The sequence below is a fragment of the Homo sapiens genome, chromosome 5, assembly GCF_000001405.40.
Source record: "Homo sapiens chromosome 5, GRCh38.p14 Primary Assembly".
Lineage (NCBI taxonomy): Eukaryota > Metazoa > Chordata > Mammalia > Primates > Hominidae > Homo > Homo sapiens.
Window position 1 is genome coordinate 78753185 of NC_000005.10, and position 15375 is coordinate 78768559.

Here is a 15375-nt window from a genome sequence, read left to right on the forward strand (position 1 = left end):
GAGACTGATGATCGGCATCCTGCAGGGGTAGGTGCCTCCCAGCAGGGCAGGATCTGAGCTGGAATTCCCAGGCCCTTCTGAGAAAAAACACCCAGGGCAGACTGACCAGCTCCCCAGAGCATTGTGGAAGCCTCCACACCACAGTCAAGAAGTATTTAGGGACTTTGAAATTTAACAGGAAGGGTGAGAGTATTATATCATCCATGTTTTTTTTTTTTTTCTTTTTGCAAACTATGAGGGAGCTGCAAACGACCTCAGGGATCTGATTCACAGTGCTGTTCATATTTCAGACATTCAACAAATGACTGGAAGCAACTCCATGGGGCAATAGGAGATCAAATTCATTCAACAGGGACCTAGGACCTCTTCTGAGAAGCTGCAGCAGCTAAGGACATTCATGCACTCATCAAGGCTGACAAAAAGCCTACGGCAGGAGTCAAGACTGAAAACAACAGTCACATGAATTTGAAGGTGGCAGGGAAGATGGTTTGTGGTACAGTTTAAAGTTAAGAGCCATATATCACTTAGTAAGCTAATGAAAGCCTATTGTGAATGACAGGATTTGCCAGTGAGGTAGAGCAGATTCTGATTTGATAGGCAGCCAATCAGTCAAACAGACACACCTGCACAGGTGCACATGGAGGATGAAGATACAATTGATGGGGTCCAGCATCAGACAGCAAGTACCTACTAAAAAGGGAGCCGGCTACGTTATTCCAGATTTCTGTTCCTACAGACCAAGAATATGTTCTCAATGAGAAAACCACGACTTCTTTCCACCACATCCTGACAACTACAGCAGTTTCTCTAGTCTTTCATTTTCCCTTTCCCTATCGCTTTATTGTACAGTCATGTGTTGAATGTGCCGTGTTTCAGTCAACAATGGATATACATGCATATACAACAGTGGTCCCATAATCAGAATACATATTATACATTTTTTTTTTCTTTTTTGAGACAGAGTCTTGCTCTGTTGCCTAGGCTGGAGTGCAGGGGCACAATCTTGGCTCACTGCAACCTCCATCTCCCAGGTTCAAGCAATTCTTGTGCCTCAGCCTCCCGAGTAGCTGGGATTACAGGCACCTGCCACCACATCCGGTTAATTTCTGTATTTTTAGTAGAGATGGGTTTTGTTATGTTGGTCAGGCTGGTCTCGAACTCCCAACCTCAGGTGATCCCCTTCCCCCCACCCATTCCACCTCGGCCTCCCAAAATGCTAGGATTACAGGCATGAGCCACCACGTCCCACCTATTATACATATTTTTACTGTATATTTTCTATGTTTAGATACATAAATATTTACCATTGTGTTACAGTTGCCTACAGTACTCTGTACCATACAGAGTTGTAGCCTAGGAATGATAGGCTATACCATACAGCCTAGGTGTGTAGTAGGCTACACCATCTAGATTTATGTAAGTACACTCTATGATGTTCATACAACAAAATCATTGAACATTTCTCAAAATGTATCTCTGTTAAGTGATGCATGACTGTACCTAAAGTAACTGGTGTGTGTGCACAAGCTATCACATTTTTAAAAAGCTAAATGGCCAATGATATGTTTTGATCAACATCAGATGGCGATGGTTGGGAAAAATTAGTGGTTCTGTGAAAATGTCATTTTTCTCCATTGTGGCATGCTGATTCAGCTGTTTATATTCCAGGAAGTTATTTTGCTCTCACTGTTTAACAACAACACAAACAATGTAAACAATTCTTGCATGCCTTGTTCGGAGAATTATGTTTTTCATTAATCATTGTAAAAGCAAGGATGATCTTGCAACCTTTTTGTATGCAGCCATTATATGTAGGGCAGTCTGTCTTTAAGTAGGGATAGATCACTCTAAAAGAAATAAGTCCTAGATAGCTTTCCCTCCAAGTCATCTTGTTTAAATACACTTGTTTAAAATGAAAAAAAAAAAGCGGGGGGTGGAGATGAAACCAGAACAAAACTCGCAGGTGGCAGTCTAGGTGTCCATTAACAATTACAGAACAATTGAAGAACCAAACCCATCTGAAACCCATTAGAAGCAATGTAAGTGCTACCATGCAGTCACCCCTCCCACCTTCCCCCAACACCAAGTGGCTTCTCCTCAAGGCAAGGCCATGACATCCACATCTGGGTCCAAAGAGTGGCGTGGGAGTCACAGCTTTGGTTTCTGGAGTCAGTTAGAACCTGAGTTCAAATCCTGACCCTGACATTTACCACCTGCATGACTCTGGACAAATGTTTTGTGTTCTCTGTGCCTTGGCTTTCCTGTCTATGAAGTGAAGATGATGGTATTTACTTCATAAGTGCTTGGGAGGATAAATGAGACAGTTCACATAAGGTGCTTAGTGAACAGTGAGAACTCAAGAAACCTACATTATTATGTTCTGTGGTGTTCCAAATATGCAGGAGCCGAAAGCCATTTGTGCTCTTCAACAGATGGAGCTACATGGATTTTCTCCCCAACGTATTATAAAAAATTTCAAATATACAAAAAAGCCAAAGATTGTACAGTGAATACGCATATACCTACCACCTAGGTTCCACAATTAGTATTTTGCTATGTTTTTTCACTTATCTCTTATCCATAATCCATCTTATTGTTTGATACAATTTAAAGTAAGCTGCAGACATCAGTACTTTTTAGACTACATATTCTATAGATTTCTTAAAAAGAAAAATTACATTCAGTGAAATGCACGGACCTTAAGTACACCATGCATGCATCCATCTTGACTTCTTAGTAAGTGTCCAGCTTCTGTTGCCATAGAGATGGCTTTGCTGTGGGTTGGGCTCTGCCAGGGAACAGGTGGTGGGTGATAGTGGTGGGTGGTCTGGGAGCACGTGGGAGGAGAGGGTCTACCCCTCTAGAGGCTGCTTACTTTTTGAGGCCCAGCAGAGCTCCCAGCTCCCCAGGGAGGTGCAGATTGAGTTATGCTCCTGTCACTATTTCACAGGTTCAAGCCAATTTTAAAGGTTATTTAGTTTTCTCAATGTAGAAAATCCTGTTTCTGCTTCCCTAACAGATGGTGATTCAGTCTGTTTGCATGCCTTGGGCAACCTCACTATGTTGGCTTTCCCAATTTAGAAGTTCTTTCTAAAGATGAGCTGAGATCCTTCCTGAAACTCAGAAGTTCTTCCTTCTGGAGACAGGTTCAAGATTCCTGCTGAAAAAGGAAGCCTGTTCTCTCATGTGCCCTTCATTTTCTCTAAATTGAATTTCTCCAGGTCATTCCATCCTTTCTCATTTGGCACTTATCACGTTCTGTCTTGAACTGTTAATTAACATTTCATCAGCTGGGTGTCTCCTTAATGAGGTTTCCTGCAGTCAAGGACCACAGCTAAGGCTTCTCTATGTATGGCAGCCTGAAGGCACTGCCCACCTTGAAGGTGCTCAATGAATGTACTGATTGATTTAGGTGGAAAAAGAATATTACATGGGTTAGATATAAATGTAATAGATCTTCGAGTCCAAACAATGAGTTTTGCCCTTTAAACATAGTTTGGACCATATATTATGTGTAGGGATGTATGTGCATCTCTTAGTCTATATTCTGTAGAGGAAACAGCCATAGAATATAACACCTAATGAAGAGCCTTGCTTATTAAAGTTATAAATAAAAACAGTGTTCTACCAGCTCTATGTTGTCAAGGCAGGGCTGCCTGAGCCACCATGCTGTATACTTTGAATTATTTGCATCATAATTTTGGGGAAGAAAATCCTGCTGTCCAAGAACCTCTGAAATATAAGGCAAGTCTTAACACTTCTCCCAGGGATGAACTGCATTTGAAATCATATTTCAATCCAAGGTACACCCAGAGCTTTGTTGTGAGAGAGTTCTTCCAGTCCCTAGACCTATCTTCCAAACAGTGTCTCACTGTTTCCTGTAAAGGGCAGTGGTTTCTACTGGGCTGAATACATGAAGAAAGCCCAGTTCCATCCAAGTCTTCTCCACTCACGTTCTTGCCCATTCATTCACAGGAAACCCAAGTTGAAATGGCTATAAGTAAACTTTCTTTGATACCATAAATGCCTGCACTTGGGACAGGCAAGGACTCTGCCCACTCGGCGATTTACATCTTTTCAGGTTGTGTTTACAGAAAGGAACATCTCCAAGCTAATTTTTACCAGAGCTTCTCTTCTCTGCCTCCCATGAGACCAAGTGTTTGCCAGAAGCCGAGTCATCACTCTGACAACATGACGGTGCCCCTACCCTGCATGTGTTTCTTTTCTTCCAAAACCAATAGAAAAAAACCCCAAAACCTATGTTCACATGTGGTTTTCATGAAAGGAAAGAGTTGTTGACACCATCCAGATGGGGACTGGGAGGCGCTGGTTTCCAGCCTGAAGCTGGGTAGGGCTCTGGGTGAGCGGGATTAGGAGACTCTGATATACTTGGGATGACTCATATCCACTGGGGGCTTAGGAGATGTAAAATAAGCCTGTGCTAGATTTTGCTGTGAAACTCATGATACAAAGGCACATCTCCAACACACCATGGCATTCAGAAGGGCTTCTTTAAGGAGACATCTTCAGAAGGAAAAAGAGCAAATTAGAACTTCAGTGTTTTTGGAGAAGACTCCCGGCTACCTCACCTGTTGCATAAGGCCTTGTGGCCAGCCCGGGAGTTATAGACGATGAGAGTTACTGGTTGTTTTCTAGAGAGGCACAGTCTAGTCTTGTGGAGGGGCTGAGAGGTGCTCTCTGAAACAGCCAGACCAAGAAGGCTGGGGATGTGTGTCCATCATGCTGGGGGTGAATTAGCACCAAGGATCAAGACTGAAGAAGTCCAATTCTGTGTTCAGTACACTTCACATGGAGCCTGGGATAAGGTGAAATAACCTGCTGGGTTGGCCCTTGAGATGGATGGAAAGTGAAAGAAGGGATAGGAGGTAATCAGGAGTGTCCAGGACAATTGTCCTGGACAATTTCCTCGATCGGAAATGGTACCCGTGCTTTTATTTTATTCGTTGCTCAGTGCATAATGAATCTGTTTGGTTGAAATGAAAGGATAGCATCTAGGAAAACAGCTGCCTTCAAAACAAAAGTGATTTTGCTTTCTGGAGCTGCCCTATCAGCAAAGGCAGTTTCACCTTCACCTTGGGGTCAAAAAGATTTGCCTCTTGAATGCATGAGTCAAACCTAAACTGTGTCGGATTTTTTAAACCTATGACCTTTAACCACATTGTTGATTCACAATGTCAAAAAGCTTCATTCTTCTTTTGGACTGGAAAGTTTAAACATACTTAGCACAAAGTTGAATCCTGGGTCCACATTTTTAAAAAAATTACCTTTCTAGTTCAGCTAGAAGAACCTCATTTTAACAGAGCACTGTTTGAAAGACTGCATAAATTATGACCAACAATAACAAACCTTTTTAAACAAACACATTAGAATGTATAACCAAAATACATGTGAGTTTTAGTCACATGATGCTATTATTACTCAAATTATTTTCAAAGTTCCTCTTTCAGAGTGGCCTTGAAGACAACTTGAACAGAAGCAGAAAAATGTCACCTGACTTGATAGTCACAGGTTTGCTTCCTTGATCTCATCCAATTTTCTGCCTTTCACATTCTTTTTGCAACTTTAACCTTGCCCTTCTCCCCTCTTTCACTTCATGAACTAATAACCATGGGACTCCCCCGCCCAACCCTTTAAATATATTGTAATGATGCTACCTGGGAATGGAAAAGTCCAGGAGAAAGACTATGGGGCCAACAACAGCTGGGAATCAGAGAGCCCCATGGTGTATGGGGCGTAACACCCAATATTCCTTTGGGTATTAAGTGCATATAAGAAACATAAGAGGAGGCTGGGCGTGGTGACTCATGCCTCTAATCTCAGCACTTTGGTAGGCCGAGGCGGGTGGATCATGAGGTCAAGAGATCGAGACCATCCTGGCCAACATAGTGAAACCCTGTCTCTACCAAAAATACAAAAATTAGCTGGGTGTGGTGGCACGAGCCTGTAGTCTCAGCTACTTGGGAGGCTGAGGCAGGAGAATTGCTTGAATCCAGGGGGCAGAGATTGCAGTGAGCCAAGATCGTGCCACTGCACTCCAGCCTGGGAGACAGAGTGAGACTCCGTCTCAAAATAAATAAATAAATAAATAAATAAATAAATAAATAAATAAATAAATAAATGAATGTAAGAGGATAACTGATCAAGTGTTCTCTACACAAATCACCACCAGTTGAACCCCCATTAAGGCAGGTAATAGTCCTTGGCTATAGACAAGAGTTGGTACCATGCGCCTAATGTAGGTCTGGATTTGGTTAACATCCTTTTGTGCAACAGGTCAGAGAAGGACTGATAACCAGAACACTGGCAGGCTGTGCTGGAACTGCTTGTTGCTGGATGGCAGGGACATTTGAGGCACAGAGATAAGAAGGGAAAGAACCAACTGTTGCGCGGATTCCCTCAATGGCAGCAGCTGTGTCTTAGTCTGTTTGTGCTGCTAGAACAACATACCTGAGACTGGGTAATTTATAAAGAACAGAAATGTATTTTCACAGTTTTGGAGGTTGAATGTTCAAAATCTAGATGCCAGCAGGTTCGGTGTCTGGTGAGGCCCAGTCTCTGCTTCCAAGACATTGACTTGTCGCTTTGTCCTTTGAAGGAAACGCACTCTGTGTCCTCACATGGCAAATAAATGGAAGGGCGAAAAGGGCCAAGCTAGTTCCCTCCAGCATTTGAATAATGCGCTAGTCTCATTTACGCGGGCAGAGCCCTCCTCCTGGCTCATCACGTCCTAAATGTCCCTCTCTTAATACTGTTGCATTGGGGATTAAGCTTCAACATGAATTTTAGGGGAAGAAAAACACTGAATGCATAGCAAGCTGTAAGAGAGACTTATGAGTTGTCTTGGGCCAATGTCTGGGAAAGGATTAGTTTGAGGGAGTTCCAGTATTGTAGAGCTACAGGAGGAAAAAGTGCCAGGTCAGGGTAGCTGAGAACAATGGAGAAATTGGGGGATAACCTAGATTTGGAACTGGAAGACCCACTTGGATTGTTGTGAGGATTAAATGAGATCTTTATACAAATAATTTGAAGCCACAAAATTGTTTTTTGTTGATGCGTCATTCACCATTTTCCTCATTCACGAGGAAGGCAACAAGCATTAATTTTTCTGGCCCTCCATTAAGAACCTGTCTACATCCTCACCTAGCTCCTGAGCGCCTTGCTTTTTCCATAGCTTAGTGAAAGCCTGCTCCTGTCCTCACCCTAGGCTAATTCCCCCACCTGTGCAACACCTGTGCTCTTCTAGGGCCATCCCTTCCTACTTTGTGAGTTCTTGTTCCGTCAGTTATGCCTCATTTGTTCACATTCTCAGCCTCTCCTTTCCTCTTCCTCATTATCATTCAAACATGCTCTACTATCACCCAACTTAAAAAAAGAGCAACTTCCTCCTTTATGGCACTATGTCCCTATAGGTACTTCCTTTTCTGCATTCAATTTCCTCTTCACAGTCAGCCTTCTGGAAAGGGCGGTCTCTACTCACTACCTGAAATTGCTTAGTCCCTTCCTACTTGAGCTCACTTCAGCTTGGCTCCTGAATCCATCGCTGCACTGGAACTGGTTTTGTCAAAGTGACCAGTGACCACCCCTCACCAAATCCAATGGGCACTTTTTCATTCTTCTATTAATCAATGTTTTCTAAACCTCTTACTCAGCTTCTATGGGAACTTTCTCTCCTATTTTTCTCCCACTTTTCCAACTGTTCTGTCTCATTTATCCTCTGCCATCCACTTCTCAAACATTGGGGATTCCTCTTGGCCTCTAGGGGCACTGCTGTTTCTTCAGCTCTTAGGAGAAAGCTGGTTGGCACACAGTTGGTTCACAGTCAAGGACCTTTCTTGAGCCAAAGGGCTTGGAGTTGGTGCTTTCTTCCTCTTGGACCTGGCTTTGGGGGTTCAGCTCTCCCCAGGTGAGTGGTCTAGTGAACCAGCCTGGGGCTGCCCCTACTGGGAAAGAACCTGTCCTAAAGGTGCAGTTTCCACCAGCAATGCTCCAGCCACCAGAACAAACCCCAATTTATTTCCTCATCCTTATCCTTTTTTCGGCCATGCCATTTCTAGAGCTCACCTTGCCTCTTTAAGGGATAAAACAGAGCTGAGATTTGCATCTGGGCCTATGAGGACAGGGAATAGGTGGCCACTCAGTTTGCTGGATCTGTCTCAGATCTGTCTATTACCGGCCAGAGTGGCTCCTTTAGTTAAACCCGGAGCCCCACGGATAAGTCTCCGCACTGAGGTCAGGGGCTAAAGCCCTAAAACATCCATTCCTTGGGGGCTTCCTTTGCCTGGTTGCATTCTTTACAAAGTTATCTTCCCCAGGATCCTACAACTGTTTATGTGTTGAGGTTCTTGGAGCAGGCATTCACAAAGGCAACCTATCTGACCAACTGGTATCCACAGCCTCTTTTTTTCTACACATACTTGTTCTTTTTTGTTTTTTTTTTTTTGAGATGGAGTCTTACTGTATCACCCAGTCTGGAGTGCAGTGGCACAATCTCGGCTCACTACAACCTCTGCCTCCAGGGTTCAAGCAATTCTCCTGCCTCAGCCTCCTGAAGAGCTGGGATTACAGGTGCCTGCCACCATGCCTGGCTAATTTTTTTTGTTGTTGTTTGTTATTTTTAGTAGAGACGGGGTTTCACCATGTTGGCCAGGCTGGTCTTAAACTCCCGACCTCAAGCGATCCACCTGCCTTGGCCTCCCAAAGTGCTGGGATTACAGGAGTGAGCCACCGCTCACCCGGCCTTTTTTTCTACACATATTTGTTCTGAGATATCTGATCAAACACTAGGGCTCCAAATACTGCACGTGGCTGGTAGTACAATCTCTAGAACAAGAACAGGGCCTCTGACCTCCAGGCCACATGTTCTTGCATGATCAACACATCTAAAAGTCAACTCATCAAAACTCCCCAAAGTCGTCCCTTCTCTCTTTCCATTCCTTCTGCAACTTTCTTTACTTCCCCATTCCACTGCTGGCCTTTTGCTGGTTGCTCTTGCTTCTCCTTAAAAATGTAGCCAAGATGTCACCTCCTTGGAAGCCTCCCTGGTCCCAAGATTGGATTGGTAGTCCTTCCCTCTGTTCATATAGCGGGCTGTACTTTCCCGATATAACACTGTCACTTGTTCCCTTTCCAGTTTTCTCCCTAGACTGGGCATTGCTTGAGGGCAGGAGCCCTGCCTTGGTTATAAACATCCAAAAGAAACTGGGCATGTGAAATGGAAAAATCCTCTGGTTGCAAATGGGAATATTGCTCTTCCTCAAACACATCACCAGTTTATTGAGCAAACTGAAGTCGGTAAGATTCCATTTATTTTTCTCTCCCACCATTGTCTTCAAATGGACTCTGTCTAGTTCTCCTTACTTGCTCTTTGGTGACTTCTCCAGGCAAATGCCAAGACTTTGATCACGTTCAGACATCTGAACAGTCTCACTTGCGATATGAAAAGGTCCAGTCTAGGCCTGGGAGGTGGCTCATGCCTGTAATCCCAGCACTTTGGGAGGCTGAGACAGGTGGATCACCTGAGGTCAGACGTTTGAGACCAGCCTGGCCAATATGATGAAACCCTGTCTCTACTAAAAATAAAAAAATTAGCTGAATGTGGTGGTGCATGCCTATAATCCCAGCTACTCGGGAAGCTAAGGCAGGAGAATCGCTTGAACTCAGGAGGTGGAGGTTGCAGTGAGCCAAGATCACACCACTGCACTCAGTGACAGAGCGAGACTCTGTCTCAAAAATAAATAAATAAATAAATAAATAAATAAATAAATAAATAAAACAAATAAATAAAGGTCCAGTCTAAACCCAACTTAAATCTCATATCCAATTTAAGTTTATTCTCTCTATCCAGCTCAGTCTGATGTTCAATGGAGAAGGCAGCGTGACGTGTTCTGTCATTTTTTTTTTTTTTTTTTTTGAGATGGAGGTTTGCTCTTGTTGCCCAGGCTGGAGTGCAATGGCATGATCTTGGCTCACCGCAACCTCTGCCTCCTGGGTTCTCCTGCCTCAGCCTCCCAAGTAGTTGGGATTACAGGCATGCACCACCACACCTGGCTAATTTTGTAATTTTAGTAGAGATGGGGTTTCTCCATGTTGGCCAGGCTGGTCTCGAACTCCCAACCTCAGGTGATCCACCTGCCTTGGCCTCCCAAAGTGCTGAAATTACAGGCATGAGCCACCGTGCCCAGCCTCCTTCTGTCATTTAATCTTCTCACAGCCCTCTCCCCGTCTTAATCCCCTTCCCCTTCCCCTCTCACCCTTCAGGATTCCCCAGGACTGAGCAGATGAGGAGGAATGAGAGGGAAGGGGCAGAGAGCACCATGTGCAGTTTGTGGCTTTGCCTGAGTGTTTGGTGTCCTGTGCACTCTAAGCCTAACTCTTTTTAGGGCATATTGATGGGACTTTGAGGTATCTTCTCCCAGCACAGGGACTTCTTGCCTTGGGTCCTATGCCCTCTATCTCTGAGTTCCTGTCTGCTAGACACTTATGCCCCAACAGGTATCTCTCTTTAATACCTCTGGCTGTCACTGGGCCATGGAAACCCACTCGCCCTTAACTTTTTGTTAAGTAAAACTTATAGGAGGCCATTGATTTGGGCTGAGCTCCGGTACTAGGCTCCAACAGATCAGACCAAAATGGAAACACTCCCGCTAAAGTTCCACATCACCAAATGTTGCTGTTTATCTGACCTTCTGAGAAACCAGGAGAGATTACAGCCAAATCCCCAAACAGGCCAGTTTTAGCCGACATGACAAGGAAGTCCCCTCTGCTTTAATCCTTCCAAGGAAAGTAACCGAAAGTAACCTGATGCTAACCAATCCACTTTTTGTTCCCCATTTCTGCTCTCTTCAGCCCTTTTCTGTCCATAAAGTTAACCTCTTCTGCTCAGCTCATCAGAACACTCATTGTATTTTATTGAATGAGATGTTGCCCACTTCTAGATTCACTAATAAAAGCCAAGTAGATCTTTAAACTAAACGTGTTGTAATTTGCCTTTTGACACTTTCAAATGGCATCTTGCTACCCAGCTGCCCTCTCTCTTCTTACCCTGCCTCCTGGCTCCACCTGGCTCCTGCTTTCACAGCTCTCGAGAGCCAGGTGCCAGTCATCATGCCCCCAGACTCCAGGGGACACATGGCAAGCTCTCCCAAGACCTTTGGCATTCGCAACTCTGGTAGTAGCACTATGCGGGCTGAAATGTTTTCACCACTCAACAAGCTTCTGTCCATAAAATGAGAGTTTGTCTCTCCTTGCAAGGATCTCCCTAAACCCGAGGTTCTCTTGGACCCCTCTTTGCTTGCTTTGGGGGAGGGGATCCCCTTCCCCATGGAAAAGGAAGGAAAAAGCAAAGCTTGCTCCTCTTACACATTCCCTTCAAGGAACTCTCCATGAACCTCTAGCCTCTCGTTAGCAAGTCCAATGGGATTCTTTTAGCACCTCTCTTTAGAATGTAGGAGTGCTTATTACCCACTGACTCCAACTTTGAAGCTTTGGCCAACACCTGAGACAACAGGATAAGTTCCATTCCATATCCTGTTAGCTGTTTCTTCTGCTTAAAATACTCTTTCTCCTTCCTTAGACCTGCCTTCAGTCTCACATACCTCCCTACCTGCAACCTCATCCAAACTGCCACAGTAAATAGGACAAAAAGGGTTAGATTGGAAACTTATCTCTGAACAAAACTCAAAATCATAAAAATACATTTACTTTATCTATTTTATAAAACAGATATGGTATATATGATTGTGCACAATTCTGAGACTGAAAAAAGAATGAGTCAATTATATGGGGCTTTAGCTGTTTGATAAAATGATATGACAACACATTATGTTTTCCTTTATTTCACATTCAAAGGCAGGAAGATGAAGAGGAATACTTTTGCAAAAATATTCAAGAGTTTCATAATTTCCTGAGGGCCTCTCTTCCACCTTTGATATTCAAATCACCTTCTTTTGAAGAGGCTTTTTTGTCACATCCTTGTCAATTTTCCCTCTGTTAGCTGCTCTAATTCTGCCAGATTCTTCTTTGTCCATGGGCTTACCCATGATTGAGTAGTTCTCTAACTTCACTGCCCACTGCATAAAAAAAGTGCATTTGCTTTGCGTCATATTTCTGTATGGTTACAGCGCTGGGAAATCAGTGGGAGGATGGCTGACAAGGAGCATGAGGCGGCCGGCTAGAGGGAGGAGGCAAGTTTAACGAGGATGGGGTGTTTGCATTTGGATACCTTTTATAAATGGCAGGTAAGTTCATCAGTCAACACTGTGCTGTAACAACTTCTGCTTCCCCATGCCACCTTATGACTTTGGGGCTTAGATATTGAATACTGGGATAACCAGGAACCTCTGCCAGCATCCAGGGAGGTGGCATACTTTAAATGGCTCTCAGCTAAGTTGGAGGCAAGGACTAACTGGAGCGGGCAGAGTACGCAGGAGACATGGATAACCGGGGGGAGTATGTTGAGCCACAGAACCCAGAAGCAATTGGAACGTTCTGAAAGGGAAGGTAAGGGAGGGGCCAAGACGAGTTTGGCCTCTGTGACCACCAAGACTCAAGCTATCTTAGTCTACACATAGGAGACCAAGCTTGTGTCTTCTTTAACCTCAACTCCTGCCTTACATTTTTTTTCCAACTTCACTTTCCTTAAGGAAACCACTAGTTTATCTTCACTGTGTCTAAATCAAAAGAACACCCACACCCACCCTGTGGAAGAAGGAACGCCTCTGTAAACATGGATTGATAACTAAACAGCATCAGGAAGCACATCACCTGCCCTTTGTAACTAGTCCTCGGCATTTGCAAGACTAATCTCAGCACCAGGTATAAGTGATGGAGCCAGTTTTCTGCAGGGAAGTCACACGTGGAAAAGCATTTGTAAAAAAGCATGAACAAACGAAGGGGGAAAATCTTAGGGAAGGATTGGAAGATGAAGGGGGAAAATCTGAGTCTGTTCAAATCTGGAGACCATAAAAAGTGTTTGAAGCCATAAGCTTATATCTTGGAGGAGATCCCAGGGTAAACAAAACTTGCCTGAGGAGTCTGGATAGTGTAATAGTCCGCCCTGATTTGACGAATGTGCTGAAGCCCTCCCAGCTAATAGAGAACAAGCCCTTTGAAGCTCCAGATACAGACTTCCCTAGAGCAGGCAGCAGGGTGGAGCTGCCTGGAGGCTGAGAATGCAGGGTCTGCAGGCAGAACGTCAGGGTTTGGAACAAGAACCAGAGGGAAATCAAGGACTAAAATGTCATCCTAAAATCAGAAGGTGGTTAGGTCCTTGGAATTCAACAAATCGAACACTCATCCTACTAGTATTACCTAAGCCAAGCCCTGCTCTGAGGCAGATATTCCATGAAACAAAGCAGACACGGGCCATTTCTACTGATTAACAATACAGTGTGATGACCACTCCTATGGGAGATGCGTGAGTCAGGAACTCCCATTCCAGTTCAGCGGGGTTAGGAAAACCTTCCCAGGGAAAGGGGCCTTTCAGCTTAAACCTGAAGGATGCGTTAGTCAAGCAAAGAGAAAAGAGAAGAATGAACTGCACCAAGGGACTCACCTGTGTTAAGCCCAGAATCACGAGGGTGCTGGTGGACTGGAAGAGCTGAAGGAGGTTCAGGAGTTCAGATGAAAGAAACTGGGATTATTCATACTGGAAAAGGAAGGCTAAAAATTGAATGAAAGTTTTCATTATAATAAGGTGTTTATACAGAAGGCATGACCTCCTGCACTGAGCCTTGCTCAAAAGAAAAGGGGCTCAGGGGTTCCCAGAACTGATCCAGACTCAGGGATGGGCCAACCCAAGTAGAAGGGCCAGAAGGCATCAAAGCACCATCCCCAGAGATCCTCAGAACCCCTCTCAGGGAAAGCCTGTGTGGGGTTGGGTGGAGTAAGACCCTTGGCAGTGAGGGTGAGATGGTCCCAAGGGCTACTCTTAGTAAGAAATAAGTGGTTGTTAAATTGCTTTCTAAAAAAGGCAGTCAGTTATCTGTAGGGCTTTCCTTTTGCCAAAGGGTGTTCCAACTGGGACCAGACCTGTGTGCTTGGATCAGAGGGCAAGGACTGGGCAGCGCCCAGTGGCCTTCCCTCTCTAGCTCTTCCCAGCAGGGCCCTTATTCCAATATTAATGTCCCAACATTAAAAGAACATTGCCCAGGTGCAGTGGCTCATGCCTGTAATCCCAGCGCTTTGGGAGACTGAGGTGTGTGGATCACCTGAGGTCAGGAGTTTGAGATCAGCCTGGCCAACACGGTGAAACCTCTTCCGTACTAAAAATACAAAAGTTAGCTGGGTGTGGTGCTGTGTACCTGTAATCCCAGCTACTCAGGAGGCTGAGACAGGAGAACTGCTTGAACCTGGGAGGCAGAGGTTGCAGTGAGCCACGATTGTGCCACTGCACTCCAGCCTGGATGACAGGGTGAAACTCTGTCTCAAAAAAAAAAAAAAAAAAAAAAAGATCACTTTGAAGGATCACCAAGTGAGTAGCCTTTCCAATGTGCTCACAAGTCTCACTTTGGCTCTGTCCATAGAAAGGAAAAGGACCTTGACTATTCTCTGGCTACCTCTTCATTTTTCCTCACCTCCTGCCACAATTCCAGACACAAAATAGAAATCAGAGACAGCTGTGTGCTCAGAATGCCCACCTGGAACAGGAGGACTGGTAGCCAGCCTGGGACGAGGGTTCAGGTTCAAACAAAGGCTGGTTTTTCCTTCCTGTCTCCTCCCAGCTGGGGCTCCTTCCCACCCTCTTCTGCTCCCTCTACTATGGGGCCCAGGAGACTGGGGGAGAGGGCTGGTCAGGCCACTCAGGAAAGAGCCATGGGGGCCAATAAACACATGGAAAAGTGCAAACATCTGGCAGTGAAAGAAACACAAATTAACATTTTAAAGTCTGTCAATCCAGCAAGAATCTTAAAAATGTATAATAAGTACTGGTAAAAGTAAGGTCAATCTCTACTCACTGACGATGTTATGGATAAAACCTTAGTAACAAAGGGAAGGGCTAATGGCACCCACTGCTTACTGCTCAATGCCTTCCCTGTCCCAAGAGAGGCTGTCTCCCGCCATCTGGGGATGGGTTAGCTGGACCTAGTTTGGCTTTGCTTAGTAACTAGATGTTTTGGACTGGGGTGATCACCAGGATGACATATTCTCTTTTTTTTTTTTGAGATAGAGTCTCGCTCTGTCATCCAGGCTGGAGTGCAGTGGCCCGATCTCGGCTCACTGCAAACTCTGCCTCCAGGTTCAAGCGATTCTCCTACCTCTGCCTCCTGAGTAGCTGGAACTACAGGCACCCGCCACCACACCCAGCTAATTTTTGTGTTTTTAGTAGAGATGGGGTTTCGCCATGTTGGGCAGGAT

General features: G+C 44.7%; 1 long non-coding RNA gene across 4 annotated transcripts in view, besides 5 other annotated features; it reads right to left on the reverse strand.

Annotated features, from left to right (window-relative positions):
• LOC124900191 (uncharacterized) overlaps window positions 1–15375 on the reverse strand; it is a 115042-nt gene that overhangs the window by 95426 nt on the left and 4241 nt on the right. For 3 of the 4 annotated variants that reach the window (XR_007058832.1, XR_007058830.1, XR_007058833.1), the window contains exons 2-3: window positions 14658–14868; window positions 13574–13680 (exon numbers count right to left, since the gene is read on the reverse strand). This is a non-coding gene — a long non-coding RNA (uncharacterized LOC124900191). Of the gene's footprint in view, window positions 1–10139; window positions 13681–14657; window positions 14869–15375 lie in introns of those variants that run through there. The other variant, XR_007058831.1, reaches the window with a different exon arrangement.
• Window positions 3864–3923: an enhancer, noted in NCBI's record as "active region_22715". NCBI's record gives its function as "activates an Ori minimal core promoter by ATAC-STARR-seq in GM12878 lymphoblastoid cells {active_cell/tissue: GM12878}" and the evidence as "EXISTENCE:reporter gene assay evidence [ECO:0000049][PMID:35858748]".
• Window positions 4494–4543: an enhancer, noted in NCBI's record as "active region_22716". NCBI's record gives its function as "activates an Ori minimal core promoter by ATAC-STARR-seq in GM12878 lymphoblastoid cells {active_cell/tissue: GM12878}" and the evidence as "EXISTENCE:reporter gene assay evidence [ECO:0000049][PMID:35858748]".
• Window positions 7230–7359: an enhancer, noted in NCBI's record as "active region_22717". NCBI's record gives its function as "activates an Ori minimal core promoter by ATAC-STARR-seq in GM12878 lymphoblastoid cells {active_cell/tissue: GM12878}" and the evidence as "EXISTENCE:reporter gene assay evidence [ECO:0000049][PMID:35858748]".
• Window positions 7955–8054: an enhancer, noted in NCBI's record as "active region_22718". NCBI's record gives its function as "activates an Ori minimal core promoter by ATAC-STARR-seq in GM12878 lymphoblastoid cells {active_cell/tissue: GM12878}" and the evidence as "EXISTENCE:reporter gene assay evidence [ECO:0000049][PMID:35858748]".
• Window positions 10566–10785: an enhancer, noted in NCBI's record as "active region_22719". NCBI's record gives its function as "activates an Ori minimal core promoter by ATAC-STARR-seq in GM12878 lymphoblastoid cells {active_cell/tissue: GM12878}" and the evidence as "EXISTENCE:reporter gene assay evidence [ECO:0000049][PMID:35858748]".